This window comes from Homo sapiens, chromosome 2 (genome assembly GCF_000001405.40).
Source record: "Homo sapiens chromosome 2, GRCh38.p14 Primary Assembly".
Taxonomy (NCBI): Eukaryota; Metazoa; Chordata; class Mammalia; order Primates; family Hominidae; genus Homo; species Homo sapiens.
The window spans coordinates 160,415,507-160,435,205 of NC_000002.12; the positions used below are offsets into that span (position 1 = coordinate 160,415,507).

Here is a 19,699-nt window from a genome sequence, read left to right on the forward strand (position 1 = left end):
AAACTGGAGCCAAAAATCTTTATATCGTGGGAAACAAAATTAATTCAAACCTGGAATGACCATGTCCTTTACATGAGTAAAAAGCTAACTTTAACAGCAAACTGTACCCGGGAAAAACAAAACCCTCATGTAAGCTAACAATTGCAAAAGGTTATTTAATAAGAATTTCCTAATTATCTGTAGGGAGAGGGTGCATAACCAATGTCTATCCAAAACCTAAGATGGATAGCACAAGTAAGGTTTTAAAGCATTCAATACACAGAAGGAAAGAAACAGTAAGTTTCCTTTCTCTTCAGTTGCTAAAATTACCATTAAATTAGGTCTATTTCATTTAAAGAGGAGGATGCTAGAATAATTAATGATGTCCTTTATGTAAATGAGAATACTGAAAAGCCTTTCATTCTCCCCTGAATTATAAAGGTTCAAATAAGAAGATATGGAATTACAAATGAATTTCTATTCAGTTGAATATGTATGAAGGTAAAGTTTCCAACATCAGGATACATAGTTAAGAGTACTGAAATAGGATATTTAAGGAGTTTATAAAAATTCCCCACCCTGAGTATCTTTAAGAATGACTAGTTCTGGGTTATCTAGTATGTTTAACACATGGGGTGAACTGATGACAGACCTGTGGCAAATTGATACTCCCCAAGTGAAGAGAAGGCAAATGAGGAAATTCCGATGTTGCCATGACAATGTGACTGATCATGACATCAGTGATTCCTAATTCCAAACTGTAAAAAACACTCCCAGAACGCTGACAACATATTAGATACTCCCAGAACCACCCTTCCTTCACCTCCCAATCTAATGTTTGATCTAGTGGCAAATACAATGTTTCAAACAAGTCATTATTATTAAGTGTTAAAATTCAGTTAGACTCTTTTAAACTGGAGAAAGTGCCAGAAGGAAGAAGTAGATAACTTCTGAAGACATTTACATTTTTGGGGGCTATTTACATTTTTCACATGTAAGACATAATGAATTTATAAAAATGTTACAATTTATAAAATGCTTTATTATGCATTATCTCATTAAAGTCTAGGGGAAGGAGGCAGGACAGGTATTCTTACCACCTGCCCCTGCCCCGCCACCAGTGCCGACCTTTTTTTGAACAGGTAGATACCCTCAGGTCGATCAGGCAACTTGCCCTCTGACATGAAGCCCTAGAAATATAGAATTTCAGAGGTGGAAAGAATTATTAAGGGCCGGTCCTTGTAATTGCTATACAATAATCATTATCAATAAATCTTTCAGTAATTGAATGAATGCTACTGTCTCTCCTTGGACACCTAGACCAATAATAAATTCATTCCATCTATTCATATTTAGCCATATCTACTAGAAAACTTTGTTAAACAGCCTTGAAATCTGAAACCATCCATCATAGTTCTACCGCAGGACTAGAATCGGTGGCTTCTATAGATTGTATAGTGCTTTTTCTCTGTATTCTGTACTGGTCAACTTATAAAAGTGAGAGCTAAGTCATCTTTTCTTGCGCTTTAAGAATCTTATAAGATTGCTTAAGCAGTCTGTAAATCTCTAACAATTTAACTTAACCTAATGTCCTGCACATAGTTATGTTTTGTTGCAGGCATGAATGGATGAGGTAAAAGTTTTCTTGCGCGTGCACACACACACACGCATGCACACACACACAGAAAGGACAGAAATAATTTTCACCTTCTTTTCAAAACCATGAATATCTGGGTTAAAAAGAGTTATATATATGTAAAAAATGTAGTGATGCAGTAATCAAATAAGAAAGAACATGCTTTATAAACTACATAGTGAATTTGCATCCTAATCTTTAGATTACTTAAGATCATAAAGAGAGACTGTAAATAAGTGTTGCATTTTGCAACTGTATGTGACTTACTTATTCAGTAAATGAGATTCTATGACCAAATAGTTTCTCTTGACTTCAACCATTAATTGTCAGAATAAATCTTCTCACTTTATTTTTTGGGTAAAAGAGAAGTATCACACTCATCTCTCTGTATCAGTGTCCTATAAATATTCAGACATAAACTGTATGTCATGCAATCTAAGATACCACTGATTGTGAGCTGCCTGAAAATTACAGAGATGTTAATTGACATTTGAAAAAAGTGGACTACAGTAATTAAAAGACACCATAACTTACAACCTGCATTTCAACTGCAGAGATGTTGAAATGTAAAAAAGGTGAGTCTTAGAATCTATAAAGCATGGCATACAAGTACATGAATACACAGCATGCAAATGCATATCCATGTCCTTTCTATTCATAACCTTGGCTTTAGAAAAATATTTGTCAAACACTCATTTTTAATCTTCCTAAGAACACAGAGCTACTAAGTTTTTACAAGTAAATGACTCATATGCTCAGTTTTTCCAAGGAGATCTGACAGTGTGTCTTACAAGTAGTGGGCACAGTCTGCACGCATCAGAATGAGAAACTTCACCCTAATCTCACAAAGACATCCATCACAAAGGAACAAGCTGAGCTGTCTGCTTCCCTCCTCAGCTCTCTCTCCACAATCACGTCATTCTACTTCAAGTGTTTTTCAGTGCATTTATATAATAAGAAAGATGAAAGGGAGATGAACCTAAATCTATAGATATTTATCAGACTTTGCCACTGTACACTTCTTGCTGTTACTGCTTTAAACTGTCAGTTGCAAACATACCTTGAGAACATGAATACTGGACTGTTACTTCTTTGGCAAGTTTTAGTCAAATGCATGCATATACACAGACACGCATACACTCCAAAGATCAGTCATCAGTACTGTTCCGGCACACGGCATCAATTCCAACTGATGAGCCTCACAAATTTCCACCCTTTTACGGTACCTGGAGTGCCAGTTCTTAGTCTTTCTGGGTCTTCAGATTGGAAAAGTAATTTTTACATAGATCAGGTAAATCAGATAAAAAGACATATATCTGAAATGATTATCACAGTCCTTAAAATTTATATGAAATTACAAAGTGAATCAAAAGCAATAACAACAGTTAAGATGACCCAGTTACAGGAAAAGATGTAAATGATTCACATTTGGAACAACGACTATTAGTATCTGATACTTCATATTTGTTCAGGAACTGACTAGTTCCTTGCATTTCCTCTTCTTCCATATGCAGCATTCCTTTTAGTCATTTAACTGCTGGTGTGATGATAAAACCAACATGAAAAACTGAAACAAACCAGCCAATTTATTTATTGACTGCAGGTTGATTAACCTGAGGCTTGGGGATTATCCATTAATTTCATTTATCTGTAATGTTCCCCTTGTTATAAAAGAAAATTATAATTGATCTCACCTTGAAAGTCATCTAATAAGAATTATTAACATACCAAACTACTGATATAGCCAAGCCTCTAACACAGGGCTTGGCACATATTAAGTGTTTGAATATTGGTTCATGAATGTTGGAATGAATGAATAAGCAATATATTAAAAATGTATGCAAGTCCTATTCAAACAGATGTTATTATTCTATAAAGTTAAAACAAGCTTATGACTTTCAAATACTTAAGAAATACTTAAGAAGGTTTGTAAATGAGTCACTGTTATCTTGGGTGAGATAATTAATCACGGTTAATTCAGTGATAAATTTTACATTCTAATTTACCAGCCAAACTTCCTCAATATTAAAGAATATCATGCTAAATTCTGTAATTTGTAATTTCTTGATTGATTTAAAATATATTCTATTTTAGGGGGACTCTTTTAAGAAGTCTTAGAATTCACTTAAGCTATTTGCTATGAACATTATTAAATATATCAGGCTAAAAAATATTGCAAATCACTATAGGAACTGTTTTCCTCCCTTTCTATGCCTGTTTGGCCCTTTATTTTAAAAATGAATCATAATTTAAGCTTTTAGTGACTGACAGATTTTTTAAAGTAGGTGTATAAACTCTTTAAAAAAATTTTGTTTTAGTCCCATGTCTACTCCTAGGTGTATAAACTCTTGTAGTTCAAAATCATATCATTCGTTTCATTCTATCATTTAACATTTAAAAGGTTATATCAGTAAATAAGAATGGACAAAGTGCTGATAATTGCTGAAGTTTTTCTTTCCACCTTATTGTATGTTTGAAAATGTCCGCAATTCAAGTATTTTTAGTGGATGTCAGTGTATTAAAAGACTTGTGAGGTTGATTCAGAGGATCCCAGACAACAAAAGTAAACTGATTCTTGGTGCTACAGCACCTAGGAAGTGACTACATAGCCGGTTATAAGTTTTCTTTTAAATAACTACTTTATCTGCCCATTTACCTTTTCCTCATGAATCTCTCCTAAAAAAGAAAATGGGAAAAAAACCAAACATTTAAAAAGTTATGAGACTACAGTCTGGATAGTACAAAGGTTACAGTAAACCCATTGAGAAATGCTGCAAATCTGAGTGATGAAACAAATAGGAGGCTGCTAATTTCTACATTTGACAGTGAAAATACACGATTTTTAAATTAGCAGCTTATCTGTGATTCATACTGACTCTCTTCTCTTTCTCCATATCTTTTATGGAGTTTTCTCGAGCTTGAACTGCTGGAACTCTTCTGTTTTTCCCTCTGACTGGTCCTTATTTACTCCAAATTGTTGTATACCCTGCTTCCAAAATAATTTTTTTCTGGCCTCTTTGGCTGTATCACTCTACTTCCTAAAACTCCCACATCAAATGCAAATTTCTGAACAGCACTTGTAAAGCTCTCCACTTTCTAACTCCCTTGTCCCTTTACCTCTATTTCCAGCTACTATTTGTGTCTTGGCTGCCCATGAACTCACTCTTCTCTAGCTCTGAGCTTTGCCAGGAAACAGCCTCTGTTTTTCCATCAGCCAAACCACACTCATCCCTCCGTTTACTCTGTTGAAATCATGCCTCATGGTCTACCCACTCTGAGTTTTTCCTACTCTCATCTATTTTCCAAGACCTCTTGCTACATTTTCTAAGGATGGTATTAATGCCTAAATTAGGCCAGCTCAGTGTCTTTACATTATAAACTCCTCTATTGAAGATACAATGATGGCCAAGATTTAGCACATACTCCCCATACGTACTCTATTGAAATGCAGCCTGCGACAGTCAGCAAGTACCCATTGACCTGGCTTCACTGTCAGTCAGTAGTTCTCGGCCTCCTTTCCAGTCCAGCTCACCTGAGGATTATGATATATTCCCCTCAGTCACTGTGGCTCACTTCTACATGATCCTGAGCCAGAAATTATGAGGACACATGCTCCCAACTTTACTGAAAATTTTTGTTACAAAGAATGAACCAGAACATGGTTACAGGAACCCAGAAAAGATAAGCATTAACCTCAGTACCCCCTACAACTTTCTCTGCTATAAAACAAGTTTTGCTGTCAGATACATAAAAATTATAGCCTCTTGAGGTAAGAAGGTTTGGAAATGATTCACTGTTATCTTGGGTGAGCATTTATTTATTAAAACCCAAGATGGTACCACGATGTATTTTAGAATGACTAAAGCAACCAAGAATTACTTTCCCCGGATGGCACAACTTCTGTTGAAACTCCAATGGTTGACCGTTCTGTCTTCCCCACACCAAGAGGCACCGTCTCTTCCTTTTCCTCTTCAAGGTACAGCAGGACAGCTCTTGAGATCCACTCTAACTTATTCTTTTTTCTTTTTTTTTTTATTATTATACTTTAAGTTCTAGGGTACATGTGTACAACGTGCAGGTTTGTTACATATATATACCTGTGCCCTGCTAGTGTGCGGCACCCATTAACTCCTCATTTAACATTAGGTAGATCTCCTAATGCTATTCCCTCCCCCCTTCCCCCACCCCACGACAGGCCCCGGTGTGTGATGTTCCCCTTCCTGTATCCAAGTGTTCTCATTGTTCAATTCCCACCTATGAGTGAGAACATGCGGTGTTTGGTTTTTTGTCCTTGAGATAGTTTGTTGAGAATGATGGTTTCCAGCTTCATCCAAGTCCCTACAAAGGACATGAACTCATCCTTTTTTATGGCTGCATAGTATTCCATGGTATATATGTGCCACATTTTCTCAATCCAGTCTATCATTGATGGACATTTGGGTTGGTTCCAAGTCTTTGCTATTGTGAATAGTGTCACAATAAACATATGTGTGCATGTGTCTTTATAGCAGCATGATTTATAATCCTTTGGGTATATACCCAGTAATGGGATGGCTGGGTCAAATGGTATTTCTGGTTCTGGATCCTTGAGGAATCGCCACACTGTCTTCCACAATGGTTGAACTAGTTTACAGTCCCACCAACAGTGTAAAAATGTTTCTATTTCTCCACATCCTCTCCAGCACCTGTGGTTTCCTGACTTTTTAATGAGCACCATTCTAACTGGTGTGAGATGGTATCTCATTGTGGTTTTGATTTGCATTTCTCTGATGGCCAGGGATGATGAGCATTTTTTCATGTGTCTGTTGGCTGCATAAATGTCTTCACTCTAACTCATTCTATATGCTGCCATTTATAGTAATGAGTAGCGGGCAAGGAATGGGCTTTCAAGAAGAACTACTGTGTCAAAAAGACAGTTCTACTGGCTGTTAGCTACTTTCACCTAAATCTACTGTTCAGCTGTAAAAAGCAAAAAGACAACAATATCATCCTCACAGAGTTTTTGTAGGAAACAAAGCAGACATTTCAGTTTGTTAAATGACAAAGATATTTATCATCATTTATTTACCTTCTTCTAATGCCCACCTTTTTCAGATAAATATAGCATATAGCTAAGCACTCTTCCTGGGTGATATCATTTCATCTAAACCTAAGCCTTGAGTTTAGGGGGTCGTGAGTAAGCCTGACAGTTCCACTTCAAGAAAACCTACACATCCACTTTCTTTCATTGACTGACATCATTGTGTATCATCAAGTTCTGTAATTCCAATTCTTCCATCTATTCTGTACTCTTGTTCACAAAAATTATAGCATTAGACATTTTAATTGTGCCAGACATTGTTTTAAGTATTTTACAGGCATTATTTCATCAATCCCCACACCACACTATTATTCTCATTTTCAGACCTGGAAATGTAAGTTTCTCCCTCATTCTCTTTATTCTCCCATCCTCTAGTCTATGAGGTCACCATCACCACCACTAGCACCACCAGCACCCACCCCTCACAGCTCCCCCCGCCCCACCACATTTAATTTACTTAACAAACCTAAATTCCCCAGTCAGCTAATTCAAGTTTGTTATTTCTAGTGCCTGGTATTCATAGCCCTTTCATCCTATCTTTAAAATAAGCATTTTTTTCACCAGATTTTTCTATTCCTCTCCTGAGTTACTCACAACCTCCCAGGCAAATCATACTATGCTAAAAACTCAATTTTAGTTATACCTTTACTGCTGTATAGCATTCATTTTACTCATTTGCAAGTGGCTCCCTATCCCATCCCAAGGAGAATTAATTCCAAACCTTTTAGTTTTTTTCTCAAATTCCTAATCCTACCCCTACAATGATAAGGTAGAGATCATTCATTATTTACATGAAATTCTCTCAGTTATCTCTCAAATACATATCTATACTTTTGCATCTCTTCTTGGCACTCTTCTCTATCCTAGCTAGATAGCTTCTCTGTGTTCAAGATTTAGGTTTCCATTTGCATCCTTGATTTCGAATGAACTTCTCTATAACATACCCTCACTTGACTTTCCCCAGCCCAACTTCTATACCAGTTTGATTGCTTGCTTTTCTTTTTCTTTTCTTTTCTTTTTTTCTTTCAATTTTTCTTGGCAACTTAATACATTTTTTACTATAAAAGTAATACATTAATATATTTTCCTTTTAAAAATGTGAACAGCAGATGCAATGGCATTTTTCCAGTAAACTAACTTGCTCAAGTCTTCTCTATTCTAAAAAAAAGCGGGGTGGGGGGGAGGGAAATGATTCCCTTGCTTCTTATGCTACTTTATTCCTTCTCTCTTTCGCTGCTGGAGTTCTTGAAAGACTGTCCGTCAGTGGACGTTTGCACTTCACTGCCCATTCCAGATACAGACCACTATAACTTGGCTTCTGACTCCCACTTGTCCCCACACAACATGATGTAGTTTTATGACAGCACCAGCCACTCATCTTCATGGAATTCCAAGTTGTCTACTCTTTTGGGGTCCTCCTTTACCATCTTTTTTTCTCTGCTCTAGGTTCTTTTCCACGTATGATCTCACCCACAACTAACATTTCAGTAATCACCAGTGAACAAAAGAATACCACAGCCAGAGCTCCAATCTTGGCTCTTCTCTTGGGATCTAGACCCCTGGTTCAAACTTCCTTGAGGTCCTGTGTCCCCTGGTTGGCCTTCGCTCCTCTCTCTCTCTGATATCACTACTGAAACTGGTGTGCCCCACCAAGGCCATTTGTATTGTACTTTGGTTCTATCTATCTGTCCATTTCACTGGAGGGTAAACTCGTCCAGAGCATCCGGTCTACCTCAATGCCTTGTACACTGTTACAACTCTAGAAAGAAAAGTTATTTAAAATTTATTGACTTGGAAGTTCAAGAAAAAAAGTGCCATTTCTTTTTTTTTTTTTTGAGACAGAGTCTCACTCTGTCGCCCAGGCTGGAGTGCAGTGGTACAATCTCAGCTCACTGTAACCTCCGCCACTTGGGTTCAAGTGATTCTCCTGCCTCAGCCTCCCAAGTAGCTGGGATTACAGGCGCCCGCCACCACACGCTGGCTAATTTTTGTATTTTTAGCAGAGACAGGTTTCACCATGTTGGCCAGGCTGGTCTCAAACTCCTGACCTCAAATGATCCACCCGCCTCAGCCTCCCAAAGTGCTGGCATTACAGGCATGAGCCACCGCACCCAGCCAAGTATCATTTCATAAAATTAAGAATTTAAGCCAGAGGTGAGAGATTGGGGGGGGGGGGAAACAAAAAGAAAGATGTCTCATACTTATTAGCACTCTTACTGTCTGTTTTGTCTGGTTTTCACTCAGAAAGCCTTCAGAATCTGAGAAGCACGTTTTCTCTCATGAGTGAAAATACTCTCAAATGCATTTGGGACTGCTGGTCATTTCCAAAGTGCAGGGGAATGAAGCCCCATTAACTGGCCACTTCTGGATGTTCATGCTATAACCGGGAAGCTGAGCAACTGAATTTTAAACTGCTGTTTGGGTTCTTCTTCAACCCAACATTCAGTTAAAAACTTTATATGATTAAAAAAATACATATTTGGGTCTTCTTATGACTACTGTCTATTCACTCACAAATGACTATATGAATAGCAGAAATTAAGAAAGATTTTACAGAATGTTTATAACCTTTCATGTTAAAAAAATAAAAGGCAGCAAAGGGATGAAGAATTGAGAACTCTTTCTTGGTATTTATTTTTGTCCCCTGGGCAACTAAAAAGGGGGAAAAAATGAGCAGCAATAGGAAGGTGGGGGATTTAAAAATCCTTAAAAAAAGACTGCCTTAAAAATAATCAGGAATTGATCATCTATTCACAGATAAATTATTAAGATGAAGATCTGAAGGATTAAAAAAAAAAAGTCTTCAGATCCCTATTAGACCTTAATTTTGGCTCCTAAATGGAATATGGTCAATAAAAAATGACTGCTTCCCTTCTTGGAGTCTGAAGTTAAATTATCATCTCCATTCCTGCCAGTGTGGCTGCTTAAATGGGGCAGTGTGAAGTGAGAGCATTTAAAAGCACTACTATTTTTTATAAGGTAGTCCAGAATCTCAAGTTTAACGGTATACACTTGTTCAGTGCCTCTGTAAATAAATAATTTCTTACTACTATTACAGTGAATCCTTTTTAACCTAAAGGGAGATGATTAGGTCTCTTAAATTTTTCAAAATAACATTTGTCTTCCAGCTGGCTTTTAATTAATTTATATTTTCTTAGCTCCCTTAAAGGCTAACTAAAAGAAAACACAAAATGCTTACATTTTATAATTCCCTAACAATGTTCCTCATCTATTCATTCAGTCAGTGTTTACAGGGAGTCTAAAACCACCGGGTACTGTGCATGGAGAAGGAGGCCTTATATAAGGTAGCTGAGGGGCCATGAGCAAGCAATGCTGGAAGGAAGGAGAAGCAATGAGGTAGAGGAATCATCACTTGGAAAGTGAATCACAGGACAGTGAGACTCAGAGAGTAGAAGAATGGCAGTAGACAGTAAGAAGCAAAGCAGCCGGACTCTAACCCAGCTAAACAAAGAGCAACTACAGCAGAAATGGCAGAAGTTCAAGGGGAAAAATTCAAAACTCCTGCTCTTGATTTTGTGCCTTGAATGGAAAACTGTCATCCAACTGGTCTCCATAGACCCACCTAGGAGGCTGCTTTCTCAGGTTCTGTTGAGATCGGGTTTCATAACTAAGATTCTTATTCCCTTATATATTCTTAGAACAATTCCACCTCATTACTTAACACAAACAGTAGTGGGTCTCTATTACTGTGCTTGCAATCAGAAGTATCCTGCTAAACAAGCACTAATAAAATTGTGCAAGAAACTGCTTCTTGTAAGTTAGTACTTAGCAACAGCAAGTCCACTTAAGAAGGAAATAATTTAATGTCAGGCAGCACCACCTGCTCATTTAAGGCAAGTTATTAAATTATTTCCATGTCTTTCAAAACACTTATATTAAGAAAAATCTGCAGTCCTTGCACTTCCACGATTGGCAGGCACCATGTTCATTTTATCATCCCAATTAAAGTGTTGCCTGGTGTCCAAACGAAAGAAAGGAAGAAAGAGAGAGAGACAGAAGAAAGAAAGAAAGAAAGAAAGAAAGAAAGAAAGAAAGAAAGAAAGAAAGAAAGAAAGAAAGAAAGAAAGAAAAGAAAGAAGGAAGGAAGGAAGGAAGGAAGGAAGGAAGGAAGGAAAGGAAGGAAGGAAAGAGGGAAGGAGAGAGGGAAAAAAAGAAAAGAGTCTTCTCATACACAATCTAAGCTGTCTCTAATTTTTTAAAAGGAATGGCAAGATACATGCTCCCTCTCCCTCAACAAACATAAAAATTAGATTATCCTTTATCAAATTTAAAATGTTTTTAATGTTTATATTTTAGTGTCTCTGAAAGAAACTATCATGTGACATACATGAGTTAATTTTATTTGTTGCCAATTCTTATAAAAAGTGGATATAGATGTTGTTAAAGTAGGTTTTAGAGATTCCATTTTAGTTTCAAGTGTATACCTTTTAAGTCAAAGGAGGTACTTTGTTTGCTATTAGAAGCCAACAGATTTTTGACAAGATGGTCTTAAGGACTGTGTTATATTTAGGAATGAGCGCTTCCTCTCCAGATCTGTGCCGCCACCTCATTCCGGGTGACTTCTAAACAACCTAGGGTCACAGTGGCCTCTCTTTAATTAGTATCTCACTGCTGGAGGGAGGGGAGCATGTCAGGGGGAAAAGAATGTAAGAAGACATTATAAACAAAGGTCTTCAAGGCAACTTAGTGGTTTGGTCAAGGAATGGAAGAAAGCCTAGCTCCTTTTTTGTTACCAAAGTAAGGCCGGAAACGGTTTTGATTCCTACAAATTGAGATGGTTGGAATTTTTCTGTATGTTTGTTAATTCTGCCTTAACGTGTTAGACTTTATCTCTAATCAATTTGATAGCCTATGACTGAAAACTCCACATTCATTGTTTAGATGACAAAATAATGATCCATAAAGAAAACAGAAGATTCAGTGGACACTTTTCCATCTAAGGGATGATTCCATTAAGGTTTTAGCAATATCCAAGTTACGTTAATACAACATTTTCCTTCTTTAAAATAAAGAAGTATAATATTTAGGAAAGTAGAGGTCAATAATAACTATCTAAGAGATATTTTTTAAATCCATCATAGCTAAAACTGTACCTCCCATATATATACCTACAACTAATTTTATGAGGCCAGGAACAAAATTCTATTTAAATTGAGCTCACTGCAATAAATAAATGAGTGAATAGGTAAAGAGAACTGAGTCAAAAATAAATTTTACCTGAAAATCAAGAATGACACAATTAAAAAAATTGTTAAAGCCTAAATATATAAACATATATGTTTATCTGTATCTATATTTATGTCTATCTGATGGTATATATTAATACATAGAGATTTCATATAGATCCAATTCCACAAGGGAATTACATTTTTAAAATATCAAAGACTAAAATTCTTGAAAACTAAGACGGTTATCTGTATGAATAAGGAACACTTTTAGAATATTAATTCTTCAGTTAAAAACACTGACACTGATTAATGGTTTCTGTTGGGTATTATTTACAAGAAATCATCTCAGCAGGGTGCCTGTGTCCAGTTTCATAATCACATAGTACACTCACCCTACAGGATTATGTTCTAGGCAAGTTCGAATGTTAAGTTGAATTTCATTCTCTTCAGGAAGTGACTTTTACTCAAGATTGAATACAGCTGTTAGCACAGATCACTGTTCCAAAAACATTTCTATGAGAGCTGGAAGAAAACACCATTTTAAGAAATGCAAATTCACTTTCATTATTTCAAATCTGTGCAAGCAAAGCTGGAAGGGAATCTCTGGTCTCTGTTTGTTAGTTAAATTAGGTTATTATAAATATTTAAGAGAAAACATGCAGGATGGCTACGAGATGGCTATAAGACTTTCCATGTACTTCTGGAGCCTACATATTTTAATCACCAGTTTGTTTATAACAAATACAGTGGCTTGGTTTTTGTTTCAAAAATCAAAGTTATACTCAATTTCTCCTTAAATTTCACTCTCTAATACAACTTGGTTTTCTCTCTTTATATTCACAGAAATGTAGCCTGGCAAAAAACGTGGGGTGGCCTCAGCAGAGGAAATGCTGCCAGCTGAAAACACCGGATGTAATCGAGACCACAAGAGACACAGACTTAGTTATAAATGTCGAACTAAAAAGAGGTATTGGAAAGAAACAAAGTCTAACTTTTTATTGGCTGGATTAATTATTGTAGTGAAATCTTGCTATTTCATAGTTTAGTCCCAAACAAAACAGCATGTCGGGGAATTATTTTTATAATCCTAGGTTCCACTTTCTAGAGCTTTAAAAGAAGAAGAAGAAGAAGAAAAAAACTCTATGGATTCTTACCATCCCTGGCCATTTTCCTACTACTGTGGGTAGGAGAACAGAGGTTTTGGGTGTCAACCTACGAGACAGTACAGGATAGGTTGGATCGGCTTCCACAAATAGCTGGGAAAAGAGCATTTTTAAAGAATGTCTTTTAGCATCACAGAAATGTCCTTTTACTATATAAAGAACCAGAATAAATCTGTCTATAGATGGACCCGTAACAGACTAAGTTAATTAGTATTATTAATTCTCTTTGGCAATGGGGTGGGGATAAGAAAACTTAATTTACAAAGTCTGTAATAGCTGTTTTTCTATTCCCGCCCTTTGACATTGTGCTTCCTTTTGTATGGCGTAATGGTGATAACCATGTTCCTTCCCTATTGGCTATGAAAATCCAAATTTGAATTCAAGACAAGCATAACACTTTGGGATCCCTATGATCCTCCTAGTTTGGCTATTAGTGCTTTCCAAGCTGCACTTTTCAACAGTTATCTATTGCTTTCTATGTAAAGATTGTTTCAATTAAATACATTTGTCTGTTCAAAAAATAATTCTTCAGGCAAAAATTTAAAATTTAATTTACTTTTTAGCCAGGGAAAATGATATTTTAATTGTCAAAATATAATAGTTTTTATTTAAGACCCTGACTAAAGGGAGCAGTTAGCAGTTTTTGCACTTTAAAGTTAACAGGAAGTCTCCTTTCTTCCTTTTTTTTCATATAATATGATCAATGTTTCTTGGAAAGGTTAACATTTCTCATAAGAGATTAAAGGACCCACCATAACTCACACAGGAGAAAGTGGGCATCTTCTGATGGTAAGAACAGGTCATTTTTGAAACTATGTTGTTATACATGTCAGCCATCTTATTAAGTAAGCTCTTGGAAAAAATAAAAGAAAATCTTTTGCCACTAGAGGGAGTTCAAAATTCCCTTTGTATCAGTAAACACGTAAAGTGCATTTAACCTCTGAAACAATAAAAACTATGATTGTAGTACACTTTTTAAAAAATTAAACAATAAGACTAAATCAAGAATTAGGTTTTTGGGGAATATATCTTTTCCTTCAGTTAGAATAGCTATGGTGAATATATGCCATGGTTATTATGTACAGCACACATATGTTAAAGGTAACTTAATAATTTTAATATCTGGAAGCAGTACAATGAATAAGCATTCTTATTCATTGGGATTGTAATCTTTTACTCTTTCAAGCTGTATTTAATAATAACTGTGGTAGACATTTCCAGAAATACCTGCCCACAATCCCTCCCACTCTGCATGTGCTTTCCCAATGTGATTCTCTCCTCCAAAGTCCAGGACTGGAACCTGTTTCACCTCTCCTTGCCTAAGGGATGGCCCTGTGTGACAGTAGAATGCAGAAGTATGGCTGAGTGACTTTCAGATCTGGGCCTGAAGAGGCTTTCAGCCAATCACCCTGTAAAGAAATCTGGGCTAGTCTGCCTTCCAGTTAGAATCCACATGGAAAGAGAGGCTGTACAGAATGAGAAGCTACACAGAGGAGAATGGAGGCACTCCAGTCAACAGCCAGACAACTGTGAGGCATGTCAATGAGGCCATCTTGGACATTCAATCCCCAGCTGAGCTCCCAACTGCATGCAGCTGCCTGAGTGACCCAGCCAAAGTCAAATGGAGCAGAAGAGCCACCCAGCTGATCCCAGCCAACCCAGGAAAATGCAAAATTTTAAGTCATTTTTAAGTTTTAAGTCATTTTTAAGTCATTTTAAGTTTTAAGTTGGAGGTAATTTGTTACTCCATAATAGATAATTGAAACAATAATACTAGTAAATATGTTTGTATCATGGTCTATATTTTTTAAAAGCCCTTTTACATCCACTATTTCCTATAGCCATACCATGCAGTGGGAAACTAGATCAAAGGTTAAATATCCTGGCCAAGATCTTGGAGTGCTTAAAAACAAATACAAAGTTTAAGAGAGAGATGTTTCTCTTAAGTAAATGCTATATATCCCTATTTTTCTACTTTTTATCTTATGTAGTAGTGATTAACAAATAATCAAGTATTGGTTAACAACTACTTTCTCCCGTGCTTCTTTTCCATAAGAACTAGTTAATCTAAACAATTGTATTCATTTATTTTTCTATTAGTCCTACCAGTTCAAAAAGTAAAAATAGTATTTTGGGACCTGTGCCTCTTTATTTATGCACACCTCTAGCTGTGTTTTGATGTTTGAGAAATGTTAATTATTTGAAAGTTCTACACACAAAGCACTGACAGCTTCAAGTGGTAAGCTGAATTTTTAAATGTGAAATGACCCTTAATTCTTTCCTTGCTTATTCTCATTGTAGACAAGTTTTACAACTCTCCTATCTGCTTGACTTTCAGTTGCATGAAATAATGATGGGGCGCTTAGCACCAGGTCCTTTGCATTTTGGTTCCCCATCCCCCTTTCCCTCCTCCAGGGTTACCTGTGATATTGTATATGACTGATATGGACATGACGGTCCCAGCAAGAGAAAGACACTGGATTTTTCCCACTGATAGCTAAGTGTTCTTGCGGGGAGTTGTGTGTGGCAGGAGGAATGGTCTCAGAATCCAAGAATGGCCTGGGTTACCTAGGCAATAGTCTAATAAAATAGTCTAATAAAATTAGACTATTGCCTAGGTAACCCAGGCCATTCTTGGATTTATTAGTTTATTCTGAAAATCTGCTAGAAATCAGATTTTCAGAATAAACTAAGTGGTCCACATTCAAGACAGAATAAAATTCAAGTTTTGAAAGCTTTGGATCCAGACCGAATCAACCTACTAGCCAGATTCTTTTCTGAGGAAGCAAGCATCCCACTATCTTTTGGTACAAAGGTTCTCATTACCTGCAGAAGACATGCTACTTCCTCGTTTCCCACAGCAGTCACAATGCAAATGAGAACAATAAGTATAAATGTTAAGTTATAGAGGCTGGAAGCCAGGAATCTACTGGGAGGCTGTTAAGATAAATGTAGATTAAGCATCTTCTACTTGATACCTTCCAAAGTCTGTTTCATAATCTTAGGCTAAAGAACCAAATCTTTCACATGGCCCACATATCTCTGCAAGACTTGACTCATACTTATTTCTCCAGTACTATCTTGCACTATTGTCTTCCTCACCACTAAGAACCAGGTAATCTGGACTTTCAGTTCCTTATACTTGCAAGGCAACCAATCCAGCAGTATGTTTCACACATGCTATTCTCTATGCATGGAATGCTCCTTCTCTACCTCTTTGCCTAGTTAACTCCAACTTATTCTTCAAGGCTCGGCTTAAATTACTTATACCAGAAAATCTTCCCTCTTAATCCCCAGAATAGGCTGGGTCTTCCTGTTATATAACCCTCATATAGCATACTGTATATCTCCTTTTCTGGACTCACAAAGCTGCAATCTAAATTATTATTTAATGTCCATCCTTTCTGCCTCATTATAAAAGCTCTTTGAGAAACGGGGTTGTGCCTGTTTTGCTCATTGTTTTATCACCAGTGTTTTGTATAGTACAGAATAGGTATTCAATACTATTTATTGAACATGAATCTATTATATTTAAAGAATTTAAAAATGTATGTCTACATATAAACTTGCATATGTTACATTATATTATATGTACTTCTGAAGATACAAAGAAGAATCTGACAGTTTCAGTAAGAAAAAGACATGCACAAATGACCAAGTGGTAAAGCAGACTCTGATCCAGTAATATGAAGAGAACTAAATAACATACCATGGAGAACAGGGAAAAGGGGATTGACTCTAAATGGTGACCATAGGAAGCTTTGTGGAGGAGAATCTGAAAGCGCCTCTAAGAACAGGGAAGATTTATACATACATTTTTCTGGCCCACTAGAAACAGCAATGTTCACAGTGTTTGCCATCCCACTAACATTTTTCTGTTCTTCACTCTTCCTTTTCACTTGGTATTCCCGAATGCCTTCCAAACTCCAGGAAATAAAAGAAACAGTGGTTTAATGGGGGCATTGGCAATGCTTAACTCAAATAAATGACATTTTGACAATAAACTATTAGAACTGTGTGAAAACCGATTTAACTCCTTGCAGCAATAATAGCTTGGCAACTGTGTAAGAACTCAGATTAGGAACTGCAAATCAATTGTCCAAAAGAAGTCTTTTCTTAAATCCAGATATAAGGTATAAGGAATGTAAGATGTTTGGGCGGGGAAAAGGGAGTAAAGGTCACGCAGGCCACCTGGTGGCAATGTGTCAGAGAAGGAGCCAGAGCTTTGGGAAAAGTGAGGCTCACTGCCAACACTGCAGGAAATCTTTGTGACACACTGGTGTGTCATGAAACAATGATTGGGTATCACTAATAACAAGCATTTCACTTAATGGTTTGGAATTCGGATATACTACATAGCCTGCCCAACTACCCAGAACAGAGCAGAATTAGATCTGGGAAATCACCCTAGTTGCCCAATCCTCAGGGAATTCTCATCCTGTTGGATCCAGCAAGCTGAGTTACGAGCTACTCTTCTCTTCTGAGGTTCCTGGCTTCTAGCTAACTGGTCACATCTCCGGGATGAGCACCTACTCTCACTGGTTTTGATACGAATATTAAAAAAAAAAAAAATCTTTAGACTGAGTGAGGTAGCTCACATCTGTGGTCCCAGCACTTTGGGAGGCCAAGACAGGTGGATCGCTTGGGCTCAAGAGTTCAAGACCAGCCTGAGCAACATGGTGAAACCCTGTCTCTACAAAAAAATACAAAAACTAGCCAGGTGTGGTGGTGCACACCCATAGTCTCAGCTACTCGGGAGGCTGAGGTAGGAGGATCGCTTGAGCCTGGAAGTTGAGGCTGCAATGAGCCGAGATTGTGCCACTGCACGTTAGCCTGGCCCACAGTGTGAGACCTTGTCGCCAGAAAAAAACAAAACAAAACACAAAAAAACTTTAAAACAAGTTTGTTCACAGTTATGAGAACTTGAGTTCACTGAATTCAAGTTTTCAGCAACAAAATTCCATTTTTAGCTTCACAATTAAAACAAGTGAAATTTGGTCCAAATAACAAACATTAAGTGACACTGAGGTATAATTTTGATTCCTGGATTTACATACAGTATGTCAATGTTAAAGTGAAAAATAGGCTTCCGTTATGAAAGACACATTTGGTAAGCCACACTGCCTACATAAAATTTTCTGATTCTGATCTGCAGAAATGTGGCTTGGCTTTGGAGACTGTTCTTTTTCATATCATGTCTTCACAGTGCTATCTTAAAGCCTTTTGGCAACAATTCTTCATAAAGTGAATTTTAATTCCCAAGTATATTTTAATATCAATCTTTCAACACAAAGCACTATAATTTCAAAGCAGTTTGGAATATCTAGGAACATGTCTGTGCAACTGAACTGCGCTTCCTCTTAAGTATGGCATTGTGCAATCCTCGTTTACTTTGGATTATGTGATAAGGACTCAGCTCCTAATCATTTTAATCTCACATTTTTATGACCCTTTTGTTTAAAGTCAATATTTTAATTGGCATATCAAGATCTGAATGGATCTTGGATTAGAAATTGTGTTTAAATTGAGAAAAGGGCATATACTAGTCAAATGACTTCGATATGAGCACAGGAGCTGAATTTTCACTGTAGTAAAGGAGCTTGTTATAAAATAAAACGTTTAAAAGTAATGAAATAACATTCAATAGAAAAACTGTAGTCACTAGTTCATGAGAAGTGTTTAGCTGATACAGGATTCTAGTCCATTTAAAAAACAAATAAAAACCTCTACAACTACTGCTTTGGGCAATACATATATATTAAATTCAAAAATATTTTCAAAATCTTACTCTAGCCAATAGTTTCAGTCCATCCAATTACCAACTATTTCATCAACACTACTAAAAAATAGGGCATGAGTGTGAGCTCCTTTTCCCCCCACATTGCTCACCCAAAACAAACAAACATGAAAGAAAGAGCCTTTGAGGGAGACAGAAAGGAAAAAAAAAAACAGCAACGCACAGGTTAGAAAGAAGTCTCTAACAGTGCTATCCATTAGAATTTTCTGTGACGATGAAAATATTCTACATCTGCAGTAATACAGTGGCCTCTAGCCACATGCAGCTAATGGGCACTTGAAATATGGCTAGCATAACTAAGAAACTTAATTTTTAAGTAATTTAAATTTAAATAGAGTTTGTGGCTACCCTATTAGACAGCACAGGCTTATAATTAACTAAATCCCTGAAAAATGAAACTATTGTTTATGATCAGTTAAATATGGCAATTATCTTGCGGCCAGCAGGAGTCTAGAATTATTTTTATCTAATGGTTATCTGATGATCTTTAAAAATCATTACTAAATCAGCCATGAAAAAGAGCTTGGACTACAAATAAATAAAAGGAGCTTTGACTTCCTGGTCAAAGATGGCCAGAAATGGTAAGAATCCCAGGGCAGAAAAGACAAGCCCGACCCTGAGTCCTATTGTTACTGTTCTGCCATCTTACCCAGCTTTCTCAGGAATTAGACATTTAAAGAGGACTGGTATTTTAGCCAGGGCAGTTCAACATGACCCCAACTTTCTACAGAATAAGTAGAACCAAGCAGAAATGAAAAGAAAGATCTTGCTAACTTTCTATGGAAAGAGTGGGGTTATTTTAAACTATCACTACACCTTAACTAAATAACCTACTGGATATACACTCTGTTGAGA

At 36.7% G+C, this 19,699-nt stretch overlaps 1 protein-coding gene across 3 annotated transcripts in view, besides 1 other annotated feature; it reads right to left on the bottom strand.

Annotated features, from left to right (window-relative positions):
• RBMS1 (RNA binding motif single stranded interacting protein 1) overlaps positions 1-19,699 on the bottom strand; it is a 221,657-nt gene that overhangs the window by 143,356 nt on the left and 58,602 nt on the right. The gene's annotated exons all lie outside the window — the stretch shown is intronic.
• Positions 2,164-2,698: an enhancer, noted in NCBI's record as "NANOG hESC enhancer chr2:161274181-161274715 (GRCh37/hg19 assembly coordinates)". NCBI's record gives its function as "activates a minimal SCP1, AML or CMV promoter by ChIP-STARR-seq in naive H9 embryonic stem cells {active_cell/tissue: H9 hESC(naive)}" and the evidence as "EXISTENCE:reporter gene assay evidence [ECO:0000049][PMID:30033119]".